The sequence below is a fragment of the Homo sapiens genome, chromosome 11, assembly GCF_000001405.40.
Source record: "Homo sapiens chromosome 11, GRCh38.p14 Primary Assembly".
Lineage (NCBI taxonomy): Eukaryota > Metazoa > Chordata > Mammalia > Primates > Hominidae > Homo > Homo sapiens.
Window position 1 is genome coordinate 130,006,384 of NC_000011.10, and position 20,713 is coordinate 130,027,096.

Sequence of the window (20,713 nt, forward strand, 5' to 3'; positions counted from 1 at the left end):
GGTGAAGCCACAGAACTTGCAAATGAATAAGTTATGGAACAGAGTGTAAGTTGCTCCTGGTGACAAGGGAGTGATCGAGAATGACTTCTAAGGTTGAAAACTGAGTGGCCAATGAATGTTGATGCCTTAACTGAGATTAGGAACACTGGGAGATAAATGGTTAGAAAATCAAGAGTTGTATTGTAGCCATGTTGAATTGGAAATATCTTTTGGAAAATCCAACTAGACACCCCACGTAGGCAGCTGGAATCCAAAAGAGAGATCAGGGCTGGAAATACAATTATAGGAATACAGTTCATCAGATTATACATTATATCTAAATACATAGAATTAGGTGTGGTCATCTAATTAGGATTAGATGAGAGAGAGTGTGTATATAGAGAAGACAAGTGTATCCAGGACTGAGCTCATGGGAGCTGCTGAATTTAGAGGTGGATGATAGGAAGGCAGCCATCCAAAAGGCTGAGAAGGAAATAACACAGGAGGAGAACCTGGAGAGGATGGTGTCTGAGAAGCCAAGGGAAGACAGTGTTTCAAGAAGGATGTAGTGGCCAGCTGCAGCAAATATTGCTAAAAGCTGATGATAATGACAGTTAACCTGTGGATCTGGAAAGACAGAGGTGGAAATTGCTGGTAACTTTGACAATAGTAGCTTCAAGGGAGAGCTAGGAAGTTTACTGGGAGTCACCTGAAGAAAGCATAGGAGGTGAAGAGTCACATCTGTTGCCAACATATGGCAGATAAGATAGGCCAACGAAAACAACTAATGTGCTGCAGTGAGCTATGATCACACCACTGCACTGAAGCCCAGATGACAAAGCGAGACCCCGTCTCAAAAAGAAAAAAAAAAGTATGTCATGAAAAGCAAAGAAAGCCTGAAAAACTGTTCCAGATTAAAGGAGAATAAAAAGACAGAACTAGGCCAGGCATGGTGGCTCATGCCTGTAATCCCAGCACTTTGGGAGGCCAAGGCAGATGGATCACCTGAGGTCAGGAGTTCGAGACCAGCCTGGCCAAGATGTCTCTACTAAAAATACCAAAAAATTAGCCAGGTGTGGTGGTGTGCACCTGTAGTCCCAGCTACTTAGGAGGCCAAGGCAGGAGAATCACTTGAACCTGGGAAGCAGAGGTTGCAGTGAGCCAAGGTCGCGCCACTGCACTCCAGCCTCGGTGACAGAGTGAGACTCCCTCTCAAAAAAAAAAAAAAAAAAAATAGGGCCTTTGCAGATATAATTAATTAAGATGAGCTTATACTGGATAAAGTAGGCCCTAAAAACCTATAACTAGTGTTCTTTTAAGACGAGAAAACAAAGACATAGATCCACAGGGGAGGGAATAGGAAGGCTAAAAACAGCAACAGAGAGTGACGTGTCCACCAGCCAAGGAATGCTGAAGGTTGCTGGCAACCTCCAGAAGCTGGAAGGAGATAGGAAGGGTTCTTTCCTAGAGGCTTCAGAGGGAACAGGGCGGGCACCTTGATTTCAGACCTCTAGCCTCCAGAGCCAAGAGAGAATACATCTCTAAGGTTTTAAGCTACCTGTTTGTGATACTTTGTTATGACAACCATGGGAAACTAATTTAACATTATTAAGTAAGAAATTATGTGGTACAAGATTGTTTGGGGTTGTCGGGGAGAAGGAGAGAGTGAGGAATTATCTGAATGTGGATAGCTGGGATGATGAGTATTTATAAGATAGCAACAGTTTTGGGTGTTTTTGTTTTTAAGATTTGAATGAAAAACTAGCTGGGGCCAGGTGGCACAGTGACTCACACCTGTTAATCCCAGCACTTTGGGAGGCCGAAGTGGATCACTTGAGTGAGGAGTTTGAGAGCAGCCTGGGCAATATGGTGAAACCCTGTCTCTATTTAAAAAGAAAAAAAGAAAGAAAGAAAAGAAAAGAAAGAGAGAGAGAGAAAAAAGTAGCCTGGCGTGGTGGCGCATGCCTGTAGTACTAGATACTTGTGAGGCTGAGGTGGGAGGATCATCTGAGCCCAGAAGGTTTGAGATTGCAGTGAGCCATGATTGTGCCACTGCACTTTAGCCTGGATAACAGAGTGAGACCTCATTTCAAAAAAAAAAAAAGAAAAGAAAAAAAGAAGAAGAAGAAGGAGAAGGAGAAGAAAGGGAGAAAGAGAGAAAGAAGGAAGGAAGGAAAGAAAAAGAAAGGGAGAGAAAGAAAGAGAAAGAGAAAAAAGGAAAACCATACAGGGAGGAAATCATATAACAATGATAAATGTGGAAAAGCTGCTATTAAAATGTCAAGTCTCATTAGACACCAAAGAAGACATGCTGGAGAGACTGTCCTTCCTATGCACATAAGGAAGGTGGGAAAGCCTTCAGTCGCAAATCACATCTCACAGAGAATGAGAAAAATTCATCCAGGAAAGAAAGCCCGGAATGGAATCAATGTGGAAGTGTCTTAGCTAGAAGAAATACTTCATTAAAGATCAGAACATTCACACTGTAAATAATGAGAACTCTATGAATGTAAGAAATGTGGAACATCTTCAGCCAAAAGGAAAACTTCATTATTCATCAATAATCCATATAAAAAAGAAATCTTATGAATGTAGTAGGTATGAAAAAGCTTTTATTCGGAAGTCAAACTTTATACCAGAGAGGTCATACTGGAGATAAACCCTACGCAAGTAGGGAAGGTGAGAAAGCACTCAGTGGCAAATCAAATTCCACTGGGCATGAGAAAATCCAGATTTGAGGCCAGGCGCGGTGGCTCACGCCTGTAATCCCTGCACTTTGAGAGGCCAAAGTGGGTGGATCACTTGAGCACAGGAGTTCAAGACCAGCCTGGGCAACATGGCGAAACCCCGTCTCTACTAAAAATAAAATATATAAAAACTGAGGTCTCTACTAAAAATAAAATATAAAAACGATCACCTGAGCCTGGGGAGGCGGAGACTGCAGTGAGCCGTAATCACGCCACTGCACTCCAGCCTGGGTGACAGAGTGACACCCTGTCAAAAAATAAAAAGAGAAGAAAAGAAAATTCAGATCTGAGGGGTGCCCTGTAAAGATAATGAAAGTGCAACGATCTTCGGGCAGAAGCTATTCATCATTAAATATTACAATATTCATGACGAGGGCGACACCCTATACTAAGGGTGCAGAAGTTTTCTCTGTAATCATACTGCTTATTGTACATGTAAGAACCCGTAAGTATGAATGTAAAATGTGTGGTAAAGTCTTCTGTCCATTCTTAGCCAATGCTCTACATAAGAGAACCAATACCAACGAAAAAAACTAATGAAATATCTCAAACAGAAGTCATGCCATATTTGACACCAAAGAATTCATACTCATTAAAACCTTATGAATACCTTGGATTTAGGAAAGGCTTTAGCAGGAATTCATATTTCATAGCACATCAGATAATTAAATTTTAGAGTAAAATTCAATTAATATGAGAAAGCCTTAAGCAGAAACCCAAATTTTATGATATTAGAGATTTTTAATAAGGAGATATTTCATCAGTATAATAGAAATTGGGTCCAAAGGCCAGGCGTGGTGGATCACGTCTATAATCCCAACAATTTGGGAGGCAAAGGCAGGCATATCACTTCAGGTCAAGAGTTCAAGATCAGCCTGGCCAACATGGGGAAACCCCATCTCTACTTAAAATACAAATATTAGCCAGGCCTGGTGGCACACACCTGTAATACCAGCTACTCAGGAGGCTGAGGCACAAGAATCACTTAAGCCTGGGAGGTGGGGTTGCAGTGAACAGAGATCGTACCACTACACTCCAGTCTGGGCAACACAGCGAGACCCTGACTCAAAAGAGAAGAACAGGAAGAGAAAGGGGAAGAGGGGGAGGGGGAGGGGGAGAGGGAGAGGGAAAGGGAGAGGAAGAAAGAGAAGGAGAAGGAAAAGGAAGAACTGGGTCCAAAAAGCCATCACAACAAATATAATTAGTGCTAACTTTGTTTTGTTTTGTTTTTTTGAGACGGAGTCTCGCTCGGTTGCCCAGGCTGGAGTGCATTGGCATGATCTCGGCTCACTGCAAGCTCCGCCTCCTGGGTTCACGCCATTCTCCTGCCTCAGCCTCCCAAGTAGCTGGGACTACAGGCGCCCACCACCACGCCTGGCTAACTTTTTTGTATGTTTAGTAGAGATGGGGTTTCACCGTGTTAGCCAGGATGGTCTCGATCTCCTGACCTCGTGATCTGCCTGCCTCGGCCTCCCAAAGTGCGGGGATTACTGGTGTGAGCCACCACGCCCAGCCAATTACTGCTAAACTTTTAAAAGCATTCCAATTGAATGTCAGGAACAAGTGATGGATGCTGTTACCCTACTTCTAATTAACACGGCCCTGAGAGGTTAACCAATGCAAATAAGACAGAGAAAAAGAACACAAGGATTAGGAAAGAAGAAACAAACTTGTAGGTTTCTGAGGATATGATCTGCTAACATATATTATAAAGCTATGATCATTAAAAAAAAAAATTGGTTGGGCGCAGTGGCTCACGCCTGTAATCCCAACACTTGTAATCCCAACACTGCCGAGGAAGGCAGATCATCTGAAGTCAGGAGTTCGAGACCAGCCTGACCAACATGGAGAAACCCGGTCTCTACTAAAAATACAAAGATTACCTGGGCGTGATGGCAGGCGCCTGTAATCCCAGCTACTCGGGAGGCTGAGGCAGGAGAATCGCTTGAACCCAGGAGGCAGAGGTTGCAGTGAGACGAGATCGTGCCATTGCACTCCAGCCTGGGGGACAAGAGCAAGATTTTGTCTCAAAAAAAAAAAATAATTTAAAGCCAAAGTGGAACTCCTGGGAGATGAACCTGCATCAAAGCTGGCTTTCATCAAGGGATTCTGCAGAACACTAACACCTTGAGTTTCTATTTTAAGGATATACAGGGTATAGGTAGGAGACAGTGATAGAGTCTTGGGCCCACTCAAAATATAAAGCCTAAGAGAAGATAATTTCATCAAGTTGAATGATATAATAAGTGTAAGGGTGAATAAAAAGTAAACTGGCCTTAAAGAGAGATCCATCAGAGAAACTTGCTTCTCTCAACCAAGGGCAAAATAAAAACATTTTCAGACAAATGAGAGTTAAAAGAATTGACTACCAAAATATTTTACACTAGAATTAGTACTAAATGAGGCAAAACAAATACAATCACAGGCGGAAGATTTAAAATGCAAGGAGGAATTGTGATTTCATTTTATTATAGAGTAAGTTCTGAGGATGGGTAGTGGTGATGACTGCACAATAATGTAAATAACTAATACCACTGAGTGAGACCTTTAAAATGGTTAAAATACTAAATTTAATGTTGTGTATGTTTTACCAAAATTAACACAATAATTTTTTTTTTTTTTTTTTTTTTTTGCGAGATGGAGTCTCACTGTCTCTCCTAGCCTGGAGTGCAGGGGCGAGATCTCAGCTCACTGCAACCTCTGCCTCCCGGGCTCAAGTGATCCTCCTGCCTCAGCCTCCCAAGTAGCTGGGATTACAGGCACATGCCACCAGGCCAGGCTAATTTTTGTATTTTTTGTAGAGATGGGGTTTCACCATGTTGGCCAGGCTGGTCTCAAACTCCTGACCTCAGGTGGATCTCCCTGCTTCAGCCTCCCAAAGTGCTGGGATTACAGGCATGACCCTACCACGCCCGGCCTAAATTCTTTTTTTTTGAGACAGAGTCTTGTTCTGTTGCCCATGCTGGGGTGCAGTGACATGATCTCGGCTTACTGCAACCTCCGCCTCCTGGGTTCAAGCGATTCTCCTGCCTCAGCCTCCTTAGTAGCTGGGATTACATTACAGGTGCGTGTCACCACATCCGGCTAATTTTTGCATTTTTAGTAGAGATGGGGTTTCATCATGTTGGTCAAGCTGGTCTTGAACTCCTGAGCTCGTGATCTGCCTGCCTCAGCCTCCCAAAGTGCTGGGATTACAGGTGTGAGCCACCGTGCCCAGCCCCAGCCTAAATTCTTTTAAAGATTATTATTATTTTAGGGTGGGTGCAGTGGCTCACGCCAGTAATCCCAACACTTTAGGAGGCGGAGGTGGGAGGATCACTTGAGGCCAGGAGTTTAAGACCAGCCTGGCCAACATGGCGAAACCCCATCTCTGCTACAAATACAAAAAAAATTAGCCAGGTGTGGTGGTGCACACCTGTAGTCCCAGCTGCTTGGGAGGTTGAGGCATGAGAATCACTTCAACCCAGGAGGTGGAGGTTGCAGTGAGCCGAAATCACGCCACTGCACTCCAGCCTGGGTGACAGAATGAGACTCTGTCTTAAAAAAAATTAAAATTAAAAAGGAATTGTAAGGCAGAACATTAGAAAATATGTAGGTAATTCTAAACCAATACTGAATATATAAAACAATAATGTCTACCTGCAGCATTAATGACACGATAAAACTAAGATACTAGACAGAATAGCACACACTTACAGAGGGGGCTGATCAGGGGTAAAGTATTAAAAGTCTTGAAGTATTTGAGAGAAGGGTAAATACTTCATTTTCTATTTTATTAATAATACATGTTTAATTGGGAGACTGGCAAGCAAATAAACAGGCACAACTTCTAATACAGTACAGTAAAAATAGAATTAAAGAGAAAAATTTAAAATGTCAATCCAAAAAAGGCAAGACACGGAAGAGAAAAAAATGTGGAGCAAAAGAACAGCATGTAATTGTAGAAATATCCAGGTGTGGTGGCTCACACTTGTAGTCCCAGCTCCTCCGGAGTCTGAGGCAGAAAGATCACTTGAACCCAGGAGTTCCAGGCCACAGTATCCTGTGATCATACCTGTAAATAGCCACTGTACTCCAGCCTGAGCAACACAGTGAGATCCTGTCTCTAGAACAATTTTTAATATTTAAAAAATTAAACTAAAAGATATATTAGAGGCCAGGCATGGTGGCTCATGCCTGTAATCCTAACACTTTGGGAGGCCAAGGCGGGCAGGTCATTTGAGGTCAGGAGTCCAAGACCAGCCTGGGCAACATGGTGAAACCTCGTCTCTACAAAAAATGCAACAATTAACTGTGCGTGGTGGCACATGCCTGTAGTCCCAGCTACTTAGGAGGCTGAGGTGGGAGAATCACCTGAGCCCAGGAGGTGGAGGATGCAATGAGCCGAAATCGCGCTACTGCACTCTGGTCTGGGTGACAGAAGTGAAACCGGTCTAAAAATAATAATAGAGGCCAGGTGCAGTGGCTCATGCCTGTAATCCCAGCACTTTGGGAGGCCGAGGCAGGTGGATCTCTTGAGGTCAGGAGTTCGAGACCAGCCTGGCCAACATAGTGAAACCCCATCTCTACTAAAATACAAAATAGCCAGGCATGGTGGCATGCACCTGTAATCCCAGCTACTCGGGAGGCTGAGGCAGGAGAATCACTTAAACCCAGGTGGCGGAGGTTGCAGTGAGCCAAAATGGTGCCACTGCACTCCAGCTTGGGTGACAGAGTCTGTCTCAAAAATAATAATAATAATAATAATAATAATAAATCCAGATCATAATACATGTAAAGCAACTAAACAATACAACAAAAAGAAAAAGATAGTCACAAATAATGTATATACAAACACACACACACCTACAAGCTATTTTCAAAAAGACACCTAAAAAATAAAGACACAGGGCACATGTTTTCAGAACCTCCTGGGCAGGTGTCATGGGTAAAAAAAACTTTAAAAAATAAAAATAAAGGAAAAAAAAAAAGACACAGCAAGGGCTGAAAGTCAAAATATAGAAAAAGACACCAGGCAAACACTAACTGAAGGAAAGCTAGAATTACTGTCAGACAAAATAGATCTTAAGACACAAAGCACTGCCAGAGATAAATCGGGCCACTACAGAAAGATAAAAAAGTTTTTAATTCATGAGAAAACATATACACTGTTTTGTACTATTTTTATATAAATTCAGAAACATTTTGGTAAAGAACTTCTGCTTTCAGCCAAGATGGAAAAATGGGACTGTATTTATTCTCTCACCTAAAACAACTAAGAAAAAAAAATCAGACAAAGTATTTAAAATTACAGTGTTTAAGAAAGTGAACATAAGGGAACAAAGGATAGAAACCAAAGAGAGGAGGCCTGCGCCACAGCTAACTAGAGCTCCAGCTAACTAGAGCTGCAGTACGTACTCTTTGCTCTCTGCAGTAAGCTCTAGAAACTCTCGTAAGCTTCCTGCAGAAAATGACACACTGCAGTGCAGGGTGAAAAACCCTGGAGGAGCTTGGCAGTTTCTCTGAATTGAGGAGACATGACTGGGCTTCCAGGGAGACTCAAGTTTGCAGGGCACAGTGTCAGAAGAAAGCTACACAGAGAGAAAGAGAGCTCTGGAGATGTACAGAAGGCCCCCTTGAATATTCAGCAGAGTAGTGATCAAACTACATATAGGGGAACAAAAGTAAGAACCACACCAGGCTTCTCACTGGAAAAAAACAAATAAACAGACCCCTCACCAAAGGAGATATATGCGTGGTGAATAATCACATGAAAAGATGCTGTACATCATCAGTCATTAGGGAAATACAAATTAAAACCACATGCAGGCTGAGCACGGTGGCTCACAGCTGTAATCCCAGCACTTTGGGAGGCCAAAGTGGGTGGATCACGAGGTCAGGAGTTCAAGACCAGCCTGGCCAACATGGCAAAACCTGTCTCTACTAAAAATACAAAATTAGCCAGGCATGGTGGCGGACACCTATAATCCCAGCTACTCAGAAGGCTGAGGCAAGATAATAGCTTGAACCCATGAGGCGGAGGTTGCAGTGAGTTGAGATTGTGCCACTGCACTCCAGCCTGGGCAACAGACTGAGACTTGTCTCACGAAAAAAAAAAAAAAAAACCCACATGCAATATCACTAATAGGTGTGTACCTATTATTAATAGAATGTCCAAAAATAAAAAGACTGACCACATCAAGAAATAACAAAATGTGGAGCAACTGGAACTGTCATAACTGTTAGTGGGAATATAAATGGTATGAGCAATTTGGGAAAAGCTTGGCAGTTTCCTAAAACATTAAACATATACCTATCATATGCCTTGGTCCTTCTACTCCTAGGTATTTACCAAAGAGAAAATGAAAGCATATGTCCATATAAAAATTTGTATATGAGGCTCATGCTTGCTATCCCAATTTTGGAGGCTGAGGCAGGTGGATTCCTTGAGCCCAGGGGTTCAAGACCAGCCTAGGGAACATGGTAAAACCTCATCTCTACAAAGAAATACAAAATTAGCTGGGCATAGCTGTATGCATATGTAGTCCCAGCTACTCAGGAGGCTGAGTTGGGAGGATTGCTTGAGCCCAGGAGGTTGAGGCTGCAATGAGTCATGATTGCACCACTGCACTCCAGCCTAGATGACAGAATAAGACCCTATCTTACAAAAAAAAAAAGCCTTGTATATGAATGTTTATATTTGGTAATAGCCAAAAACTAGATTGTTCATTAACATTTGAACGGGTAAGTATATAGTGATGATATGGTTTGGTTCTATCCCCACCTGAATCTCATCTTGAATTACCACGTGTTGTGGGAGGGACCTGGTGGGAGGTAACTGGATCATGGAGGCAGGTCTTTCCCATGGTGTTCTTGCAATGGTGAGTGGGTCTCACAAGATCTGATGGTATTATAAGGGGGAGTTTCCCTGCACAAGCTCTCTCTCTCTCTCTCCGTCTCTGCACGCTGCCATCCATGTAAGACATGACTTGCTCCTCCTTGCCTTCTGCCATGATTGTGAGGCTTCCCCAGCCACATGGAACTGTTAAGTCCAATTAAACCTCTTTCTTTTGTAAATTGCCCAGTCTCAGGTATGTCTTTATCAGCAGCATGAAAATGGACCAATAGAAGTGGTATATCCATACAATCTAGTACTATTCAGCAATAAAAAGAACTGAACTAGTTATATGTGCAACAACATGATCTCAAAATAATTATCCTAAGTAAAATAAACCAGACTCCCCAAAAGAGTATTTACTGCATGATTCCATTTACATTAAATCCTAGAAAATGCAGACTAATCTGCAGTGATAGGAAGCAGATCAGGGATTGCCTGGGGAGTGAAGAGAGGTTGGCAGGGGAGGGATTGCAAAAGTTCCAAAGGCAACATTTTGAAATTATATGTCAATTATAACTCAATAGTGCTATTAAAATTGCTTTGGAATTTCTGAAAATTATAATAATCAAAGAACATTTTTAAGTTGGCTAAGAATTTGAAAAGGAGAATTTACTTCTCCCTTTGTTTAAAATATGATTAAGATTTATTATGGTCTCTTGGGTTTTTTTAGGTGAATATATAATTTAAAAAAGACTAAAGACAAATACAACAATAAAGCAATAAACATCAAGGCCAGGCATGGTGGCTCACGCCTGTAATCCCAGCACTTTGGGAGGCCAAGGTGGGCAGATCACAAGGTCAGGAGATTGAGAGCATCCTGGCTAACACGGCAAAACCCCACCTCTACTAAAAATACAAAAAATCAGCCGGGCACAGTGGCAGGCACCTGTAGTCCCAGCTACATGGGAGGCTGAGGCAGGAGAATGGCGTGAACCCAGGAGGCAGAGCTTGCAGTGAGCCGAGGTCCCACCACTGCACTCCAACCTTGGTGACAGAGCGAGACTCCATCTCAAAAAAAAATAAAATAAATAAATATACATCTTGTAAGACAATCTAAGATGCTACCTGTACCATCTCTTCTAGGGACAATGGTGACCTTCTTTACCCAAGTTTTGAAGCCGAGAAACTGTAATTGTAAAAACAAACAAACAAAAACTATAATGAAGACAATAGGCATATTTACATACAGCTAAACAAAAACTTTAGCTATACATACCATAAATAAATTCAATAAACAGTACATTAAAATTTTTGCGATAGAACAAAGAGTAATTTCGTTTTGTTTATTTATTTTTTAATTGAGACAAGGTCTCATTCTGCTGTTCAGGCTGGGATGCAGTAGCACAGTCACAGTTCACTGTAGCCTTGACCCCCCAGGCTCAAGCAATCCTCCCATCTCAGCCTCCCAAGTAACTGAGACTACAGGTGCACGCTGCCATGCTTGGCTAATTTTATTATCTTTTATTTTGTAGAGTTTTGCCATATTGCCCAGGCTGTTCTCAAACTCCTGGGCTCAAGTGATCCACCTGTCGTGTCCTCCCAATTGCTGAGATTACAGGCATGAGCCACTGAGCCAGGCCTATTTTTTGTAGAGAGAGGATTTTGCTATGTTGCCCAGGCTGGTCTTGAACTCCTGGGCTCAAGTAATACACCAGTCTTGGCCTCCCAAAATACTGAGATTACAAGCATGAGCCACTGAGCAAGACCAGAGAACAAAGAGGAATTTCTTACAAATTTATAAGAAAAGGCAAACAACCCAATGATAAAATAGACACAGAATATCAAGAAAATTTTAGGGAAAACAAATCCAAATGCCAGAAGCTGTATTAAAAATGCTCAAACTACATATCAGGAATTATGGAAATTAAAGTAACTATTATTATAAATATCACTTTATGTTCATCAGACAGAAAAAGGGTAAAAAGAACAGTAGCACCTATGATTTTGTATTTTCATACAATATTAGTGGTGTTATGAATTGTTCCAGCTTTTTAGGAAGGGAGGTAGTAACATCAATTAAAATTAAATATGTATAAAGGTATACAGTCCACCCTCTGTGTCTGTAGGTTCCCCATCCATGGATTCAACCAAGCAAAGATTTGAAGTATTTGGAAAAAAGCAATTAAAAATAATAATACTACAATTAAAAATAATACAAATAAGAATCAAGTATATAGTGGTGATATGGTTTGGTTGTGTCCCCACCCAAGGCCGGGTGCAGTGGCTCACACCTGTAATCTCAGTCCTTTGGGAGGCCGGGGCTGGCAGATCACCTGAGGTCAGGAGTTTGAGACCAGCCTGGCCAACATGGTGAAACCCCATCTCTACTAAAAATACAAAAATTAGCTGGGCGTAATGGTGCACGCCTGTAATCCCAACTACTCGGGAGGTTGAGGCAAGAGAATTGCTTGAACCCAGGAGGCAGAGGTTGCAATGAGCGGAGATAGTTCCACTGCACTTCAGTCTGGGTGACAGAGCAAGACTCTGTCTCAAAAAAAAAAAAAAAAAGAATCAATACAGTATAACAACCATTTACATAGCATTTACATTGTATTGTTGTTGAGGCTGATGGTCTGAGGCTACTATCCACAGGTGGAATTTCTTCTTCCCGGAAATCTCAGTTCTTCCCTTCCCTTCTGAGGCCCACCCAGATTATCTAAGATATACTCCTTTACTAAAAGTCTTTGATTATAGATTTTCATCACAACAACACCTAGATTAGTCGTCGATGGAATAACCAGTTGACACAAAAAATTGACCATCACTTTTATGTGGTATTGTAATATGTAATCTAGAAAGGATTTAAAGGATATGGCAGGATGTGTGTAGGTTATACGCAAATACTATGCCATTTTATATAAGGGACTTGTGCATCTGTGGATTTTGGTACCCACAGGTGTCCTGGAACCCATCCTCAAGGATACCAAGGGATGACTATGACTATATACATATTATAAGAGATGTTTGTATAATTGTTTAACTCAAAAGTTCTCCATTCTGGGATTCTATCTTGAGGAAAGAAAATAACCAATATAAGGCATTTAATTCAGCGTTTTCCATAATGGCATGAAACTGGAAACAGTCAAAAATTAATGGCATATCTACACCAGAAAATAGTATGCAGCAATTAAAGTGGATGAACAGTAGCTATGTCAGTGGATTTAGAATAATTTCCAACATATATTGCTGAATGAAAAAGGCAAAATGAGAAAAAGTCTGTTACATCAGTCAGGGCTCAATTAAGAAAACAGAAACAGCAGGAGACATCATAAGGGATTTGTTGAAGGAAATTCAATTACACAATTGATCGATTAATCATCGGGTCTAGCTAGGCAAGTCTGAATCCATAGAGCAGGCCACAAGGAAGGGCAGGTGGCACTCTCTGGCATGGGCTGAGGCTGCTACCCGCAGGTGGAATTTCTTCTTCCCAGAAACCTCAGTTCTACTCTTTTTTTTTTTTTTTTTTTTTTTTGAGACGGAATCTCTCGCTCTGTCGCCCAGGCTGGAGTGCAGTGGCGCGATCTCGGCTCACTGCAAGCTCCGCCTCCCAGGTTCACAGCATTCTCCTGCCTCAGCTGGGCTACAGGCAACCGCCACCACGCCTGGCTAATTTTTGTATTTTTAGTAGAGACGGGGTTTCAACGTGTTAGCCAGTATGGTCTTGATCTCCTGACCTGGTGATCCGCCCACCTCGGCCTCCCAAAGTGCCGGGATTACAGGCGTGAGCCACCACGCCCGGCAAACTCAGTTCAACTCTTAACGCCTTTCAACTGATTGGATGAGGCCCAACCAGATTATCTAAGATATTCTCCTTTACTAAAAGTCATTGATTATGGACTTTAATCACAGCAACAGCTAGATTAGTAACTGAGGGAATAATCAAGTTGACACATGAAGTTGACCATCACATGTGTGATATTTCATTTTGTAAAACAAATAATGAAAAAAAAATCTCTGTGTGTGTGTGTGTGTGTGTGTATGCAAATATATAAACATCTGTGAATATACAGTTACCTGGGTATGTGGATTAGGGTGAAGTAGGCAGAGGGGCAGGAGAAGAGGAGCGTGCAAAGCAAAACGAGAAGAAAAAGACCACAATATGAAAAACATAAAATTCAAGATATATAACATGATTGCATTTATGGATTTATATAAAATATTAAATTCATGTGCATATACATATACAGACAATTTTAAAACTAAAATACATACTTTTTAAAAAATGCATACATTTTAGCAAGCAAGATGCAAAAAACTTATTTGATTAAAGAGTGCTTATTCCTTATTAATTTTACAAAATATCCTAGTCAAAGAGAAGTAGAAATGTTCTCAAATACCTATTTTCAAAGATAAACAATATACGTATTAGTTTCCTAGGAACAAACTACCATAAACTGGAAGATTGAAACAACAGACATTCATTCTCTCCCAGCTCTGAAATCTAGAAGGCTGAAATAAGCTATCGGCAAGGCTGTATTCCCTCAGAAGTCTCTGGGAAGGAATTCTTTCTTGCCTCTTCCTAAATTCCTGTGTTCGCCAGCAATCCTTGGAATTCCTTGACTTGCAGTTTCATCACTTCACTTTCTGCTTCTGCCTTCTTCACCTGCCCGTCTTGCCTGAACTGTATTCATTTCCAGATCTCCCTCTCCCTACAAGGACAACAATCATTGTATATAGGGTCCACCCTTATCAAGTATAAACTCATCTTAACTTATTACATCTACAAAGGCCCTATTCCTGAAGAAGGTTGCGTTCACAGGTATGAGGAGGGGGAGGGGGATTAGACCTTGAATATCTTTTTAGGGGGATAAAATTCAACCCTCTACAATATCCTACTTATGATAATCAACTGAAGCATTCCTATAAAAAAATAGATGATAAAAAGAAAAATAGAGCCAAGCATGGTGGCTCACATCTGTAATCTCAGCACTGTGGTAGGCTGAGGCGGGAGGATCACTTGAGTACAGGAGTTCGAGACCAACCTGGGCAACATAGCGAGGGTAACAAACCTCGTCTCTATTTGTTGTTGTTGTTTTTTTTGAAGGAGGTGACAGCTAGGCGCGGTGGCTCACGCCTGTAATCCCAGCACTTTGGGAGGCCGAGGAGGGCAGATCACGAGGTCAGGAGATTGAGACCATCCTGGCTAACACGGGGAAACCCCGTCTCTACTAAAAATACAAACAAATTAGCCGGGCGCAGTGGTGGGCACCTGTAGTCCCAGCTACTCAGGAAGCTGAGGCAGGAGAATGGCATGAACCCGGGAGGCGGAGCTTGCAGTGAGCAGAGATGGTGCCAGTGCACTCCAGCCTGGGCCACAGAGCGAGACTCTGTCTCAAAAAAAAAAAAAAAAAAAAAAGAGGTGACAACGATGCCCCATATATTATTTAACACTGCCTTGAGGCTGAACACAATGGCTCATGCCTGTAATCCCAACACTTTGGGAGGCTAAGGTAGGAAGATTGATTGAGACCCAAGCATTCAAGACCAGCCTGGGCAATGTAGCTGAGAGGTGACAGCGTGCTGGCAGTCCTCAGAGCCCTCGCTCACTCTCGGGGCCTCCTCTGCCTGGGCTCCCACTTTGGCGGCACTTGAGGAGCCCTTCAGCCCGCCGCTGCACTCTGGGAGCCCCTTTCTGGGCTGGCCAAGGCCGGAGCCCGCTCCCTCAGCTTGCGGGGAGGTGTGGAGGGAGAGGCGCAGGCGGGAACCCAGGCTGCGTGCGGCGCTTGCGGGCCAGCGCGAGTTCCGGGTGGGCGTGGGCTGGGCGGACCCCGCGCTCGGAGCAGCCGGCCGGCCCTACCAGCCCTGGGCAGTGAGGGGCTTAGCGCCCGGGCCGGCAGCTGCTGTGCTCAATTTCTCGCCGGGCCTTAGCTGCCTTCCCGCGGGGCAGGGCTGGGGACCTGCAGCCCGCCATGCCTGAGACTCCCCCCACTCCGTGGGCTCCCGTGCGGCCCGAGCTTCCCCGACGAGAGCCGCCCCCTGCTCCACGCGCCCAGTCCCATCGATCACCGAAGGGCTGAGGAGTGAGGGCGCAGGGTGCACAGCCCCGGTGCGGGATCCACTGGGTGAAGCCAGCTGGGCTCCTGAGTCTGGTGGGGACGTGGAGAACCTTTATGTGTAGCTAAGGGATTGTAAATACACCAGTCGGCACTCTGTATCTAGCTCAAGGTTTGTAAACACACAAGTCAACACCCTGTGTCTAGCTCAGGGTTTGTGAGTGCACCAATCGACACTCTGTATCTAGCTACTCTGGTGGGGACTTGGAGAACCTTTGCGTCGACACTCTGTATCTAGCTAATCTGGTGGGGACGTGGAGAACCTTTGTGTCTAGCTCAGGGATTGTAAACGCACCAATCAGCACCCTGTCAAAACAGACCACTGGGCTCTACCAATCAGCAGGACGTGGGTGGGGCCAGATAAGAGAATAAAAGCAGGCTGCCCGAGCCAGCGGTGGCAACCCGCTCGGGTCGCCTTCCACACCGTGGGAGCTTTGTTCTTTCTCTCTTTGCAATAAATTTTGCTGCTGCTCACTCTTTGGGTCCAGACTGCCTGAAGAGCTGTAACACTCACCGTGAAAGTCTGCAGTTTTTCTCCTGAAGCCAGCGAGACCACGAACCAACCGGGAGGAACGAACAACTCCAGACACACCGCCTTAAGAGCTGTAACACTCACCGCGAAAGTCTGCAGCTTCGCTCCTGAGCCAGCAAAACTACGAACCCACCAGAAGGAAGAAACCGCGAACACATCCGAACATCAGAAGGAACAAACTCCGGACACACCGCCTTTAAGAACTGTAATGCTCACCGCGAGGGTCAGCGGCTTGATTCTTGAAGTCAGTGAGACCAAGAACCCACCAATTCCAGACACATAGCTATACCCCACTCTCCACAAAACACTGAAAAATTAGCCAGGGATGGTAACACACACTTGTAGTAGTAGCCACTCTGGAGGCTGAGGCTGGGATTGCTTGAGCCCATGAGTGTGAGACTGCAGTGAGGTGTGGTTATACTACTGCATTCAGCCTGGGCAACAGAGTGAAACCCTGTCTCTGCAAACCAACAGCACTGCCTTGGAAATTCAAACCAATGCAATAAAATATAGAACAAAAATAAGAGATAATTATTAGAAAAGAGAAAACAAAATTATCGTTACTTGCAGAGTATACAGTTAAGTCTACAAGAGTTTGGTGACTAGACACAAAATACAAATTAATAGTTTTCCATAAAGAGTAACAAAAATCACAGGAAATGCCAAAGAAAAATACAAGTTTATGGTGAACCTACTATGCACTTAACTTGATCCTTCAAAAAATGAGATGTGTGAGATGACTCAATTGTTAGAAATGATTTCTGGAATGCCTGAGGTCAAGGCTTCTGCCCCAGACACGCTTGACTGGCTCCACCACTTTGCCTATGGTCTGTTCACTTGCCAAGCCTAGTTTTGATTATCACTACTCCTCACTGACAGCAGGAAACACAACTGAGCAATCTGCGATTGTCTTTCCTCTGATCACACCAGTTGGTCCCAAGGGAGTTCATGGGTCACAGCCCAGCAGCCCCTTTGTGTGCTTTCACCTGTGTTGGATTGCTACCTGTTTGTTGGAGAAGGTTGCTTTCCAGCCTGTTTTAAACCAACAGTGGCCTTTTGCCATCATCTTCCCCCATGTTTATAATTTGGCTTGATGGCTAGCTGAACAATAATAGGGAAAATGACAAAAGAACATAATAGGGATGGAAGAGAAAAACAGTTGTATACTTTGGGCCAGTGGTTTGCTTGCTTTCCTTACAAACAGGAACAGAGAAGTAGTACTGGGAAGGAAAATGGAAAGAGAAAAACAAAAACAAACACAAAACCTTTAGTAGAGTAGGCTAAGAAGATATGAATGATTCGTGTTTTAAATGACAGCTCCCCGAAAACATTATAGAAAATACTTTCTTTTTTTTTTTTTTGAGATGAAGTCTTGCTCTGTTGCCCAAGCTGGAGTGCAGTGGCGTGATCTTGGCTCACTGCAAGCTCCGCCTCCCGGGTTCATGCCATTCTCCTGCCTTAGCCTCCAGAGTAGCTGGGACTACAGGCGACTGCCACCATGCTCGGCTAATTTTTTTTTTTTTTTTGTATTTTTAGTAGAGACGGGGTTTCACTGTGTTAGCCAGGATGGTCTCGATCTCCTGACCTTGTGACCCGCCCGCCTCGGCCTCCCAAAGTGCTGGGATTATAGGCTTGAGCCACAGCGCCCGGCCAGATAGAAAATACTTTCTAAGAATTTTCACTGATGAAACATTCAGACATCTTTTTTGTTGTTTACTTAAAGCTTAATTTTAAAAACGCAATACAGGGCAAAATATTTCTATCTGGAGTAAAACTCTTCTTTCTGTATAGTGTTCTACAACACACAGAGCCTTCCATATACATGGTCCCATTTGATCCAAGTGAGATTGCAAATATCGTGGCTGACCAAATGGTAAACTAGGGAGAATCTTATGATGAATGGGAGAAAGGAAATGGAAAATTTTTTGGAAAACAAAACCCTAAGCCAAATATAGCAAAGATTAAGATCTACAGGAACATTGTTCTGAATATTTATGGGTAATCCATGAATAATCCTCAGAAATAGATATTGCTCATGCAAATCAGATGAAAAGAATTTGGATGGATTTTTCCAGCACATATGGCAATAAAGCCTGTGAGAAGACTAAAAAGACAGTGACATTCTTTGTTGTTGTTGAGATGGAGTCTTGCTCTGTCACCCAGGCTAGAGTGTGGTGGTGCAATCTCAGCTCACTGCAACCTCTGCCTCCTGGGTTCAAGCAATTCTCCTGCCTCAGTCTCCTGAGTAGCTGGGACTACAGGTGCCCACCACCACGTCCGGCTAATTTTTGTATTTTTAGTAGAGACGGGGTTTCACCGTGTTGCCCAGGCTGGTCTCAAACTCCTGACCTCAAGTGATCCGCCTGCCTCCGCCCCCCCCAAAGTGCTGGGATTACAGGTGTGAGCCACAGTGCCCAGCCGACAGTGACATACTTGAGGGACATGGATGCAAAGTTTTAAACACTGAGAGGAAACTAAGTGCTATTGGTTAGAAAAATAATCCTTCTCTGTTAGTAAAACCACACTTCATTAAAAGAGACAGCAAGAAATGAGGAGAAACTCCACTGTACCCTGATACATACTATAATACTTCATGGTTTTGTTTGTTTGTTAGTTTTGAGACGGAGTCTCACTCTGTCACCCAGGCTGGAGTGCAGTGGCATGATCTCAGCTCACTGCAACCTCTGCCTCCCAGGTTCAAGTGATTCTCCTGCCTCAGCCTCCTGAGTAGCTGGGACTATAGGCACCCACCACCACGCCCAGCTAATTTTTGTATTTTTAGTAGAGATGGGGTTTCACCATGTTGCCCAGGCTGGTCTCAAACTCCTCACCTCAGGTGATTTGCCTGCCTTTGCCTCCCAAAGTGCTGGGATTACAGGTGTGAACCACTGAGCCCGGCTGATAGTTCATGTTTAGATTTTAAGTTGCTTGAGCTTGTTGTTCCCTCTCAGCAAACAGCAAGAGACAGACTGGTCCTGCATGGATTTAATCTTAGGACCTTTTCTCCTCCTTAGCAGTGTTTTTTATTTACTCTACTCATGTGGTCATGGAATGTAAATGTTCTCTTAACTGCTCTTTCTTATCATATTTAAAAAAACCAACAGAGAGCTTGAGAACTGAGTGTCTTCCCTTTCAAGTCTTCTCTTCACATTTCAATATGGCACCCAATTGCTTTTCACTGTAGTCAAGACACAATCAAATTTTTTTAAGTTTACATATTTTATTTCCTCACCAAGAAGAAGCATTAATCACTGATACCTAAAAATGCAATCATTGCTGGTGACTAGGTTTCTAGAAGAAATTTTTTTTTTTTTGAGGTGTAGTCTTGCTCTGCCATCCAAGCTAGAGTGCAGTTGCATGATCTTGGCTCACTGCAACCTCTGTCTCCTGGGTTCAAGCAATTCTCCTGCCTCAGCCTCCTGAGTAGCTGGGATTACAGGCACGCGCCACCACACCTGGCTAATTTTTGTGTTTTTAGTAGAGACGGGGTTTCACCATGTTGGTCAGGCTGGTCTCGAACTCCTGACCTTGTGATCCACCCACCTCAGCCTCCCAAAGTACTGGGATTACAGGCGTGAGCCACCACGCCCGGTCTAGAAGAAATATTTTTAAATTTTGTTTTTTCACACAAAAGTCACATACGCACACGAACATCTCAACTATTCATATTGTGTTCATGACCTACTCGTTCAGTTCATCCACATGTGATTTGTTTAAAAGTGTTCCCCCAGGTTAGAGAATAAAATAAGACCCGAGTTTTTAACATTGAATCCCTCTAAAATGTATGCAAAGTGCTGTCTTCAAATTCATATGTGCATTTCTTCTGAGGAGAGATAATAGTTTCTAGCACATTCTCCCTGAAGAGTCCAAGACCCCATAAAAACTAGAAATTGCAGGCTCACGCCTGTAATCCTAGCACTTTGGGAGGGTGAGGTGGGCGAAGTCAGGAGATCAAGACCATCCTGGCCAACATGGTGAAACCCCGTCTCTACTAAAAATACAAAAATTAGCCAGGCATGGTAGTGTGCACCTGTAGTCCCAGCTACTCGGGAGGCTGAGGCAGGGGAATCGCTTGAACCAGGGAGGCGGAGGTTGCAGTGAGCCTGTATCACGCCACTGCACTCCAGCCTGGTGACAGAGCGAGACTCCATCTCAGAAAAAAAAACCAAAAACTAGAAATCATTGCCTTGGCCAGTGCAGTGGCTCACGCCTGTAATCCCAGCACCTTGGGAGACCAAGGAGGGAGAATCACTTCAGCCCAGGAGTTCGAGACCAGCCTGGGCAACACGGTGCAACCCTACCTCTATAAAAAATGCAAAAATTAGCCGGGTGTGATAGCACGTGCCTGTAGTCCCAGCCACTTGGAAGGCTAAGGTGGAGGGATGTCTTGAGCCCAGGAGGCGGAGGTTGCAATGAGCCGAGATTTTGCCACTGCACTCAAGCCTGAGCGACAGAGCCAGACCCAGTTTCAAAAAAAGAAAAAAGGAAACAATCATTGCCTTATAATTACTGAAAACCAAGGGAC

The 20,713-nt window shown here is 43.5% G+C and overlaps 3 annotated features.

Moving 5' to 3' along the window:
• Positions 508-854: a transcriptional cis regulatory region, noted in NCBI's record as "candidate enhancer chr11.6035 targeted for multiplex CRISPR interference". NCBI's record gives its function as "positively regulates APLP2 gene expression with high confidence in K562 cells {active_cell/tissue: K562}" and the evidence as "EXISTENCE:mutant phenotype evidence [ECO:0000015][PMID:30612741]".
• Positions 13,054-13,103: an enhancer, noted in NCBI's record as "active region_5749". NCBI's record gives its function as "activates an Ori minimal core promoter by ATAC-STARR-seq in GM12878 lymphoblastoid cells {active_cell/tissue: GM12878}" and the evidence as "EXISTENCE:reporter gene assay evidence [ECO:0000049][PMID:35858748]".
• Positions 17,063-17,142: a silencer, noted in NCBI's record as "silent region_4074". NCBI's record gives its function as "represses an Ori minimal core promoter by ATAC-STARR-seq in GM12878 lymphoblastoid cells {active_cell/tissue: GM12878}" and the evidence as "EXISTENCE:reporter gene assay evidence [ECO:0000049][PMID:35858748]".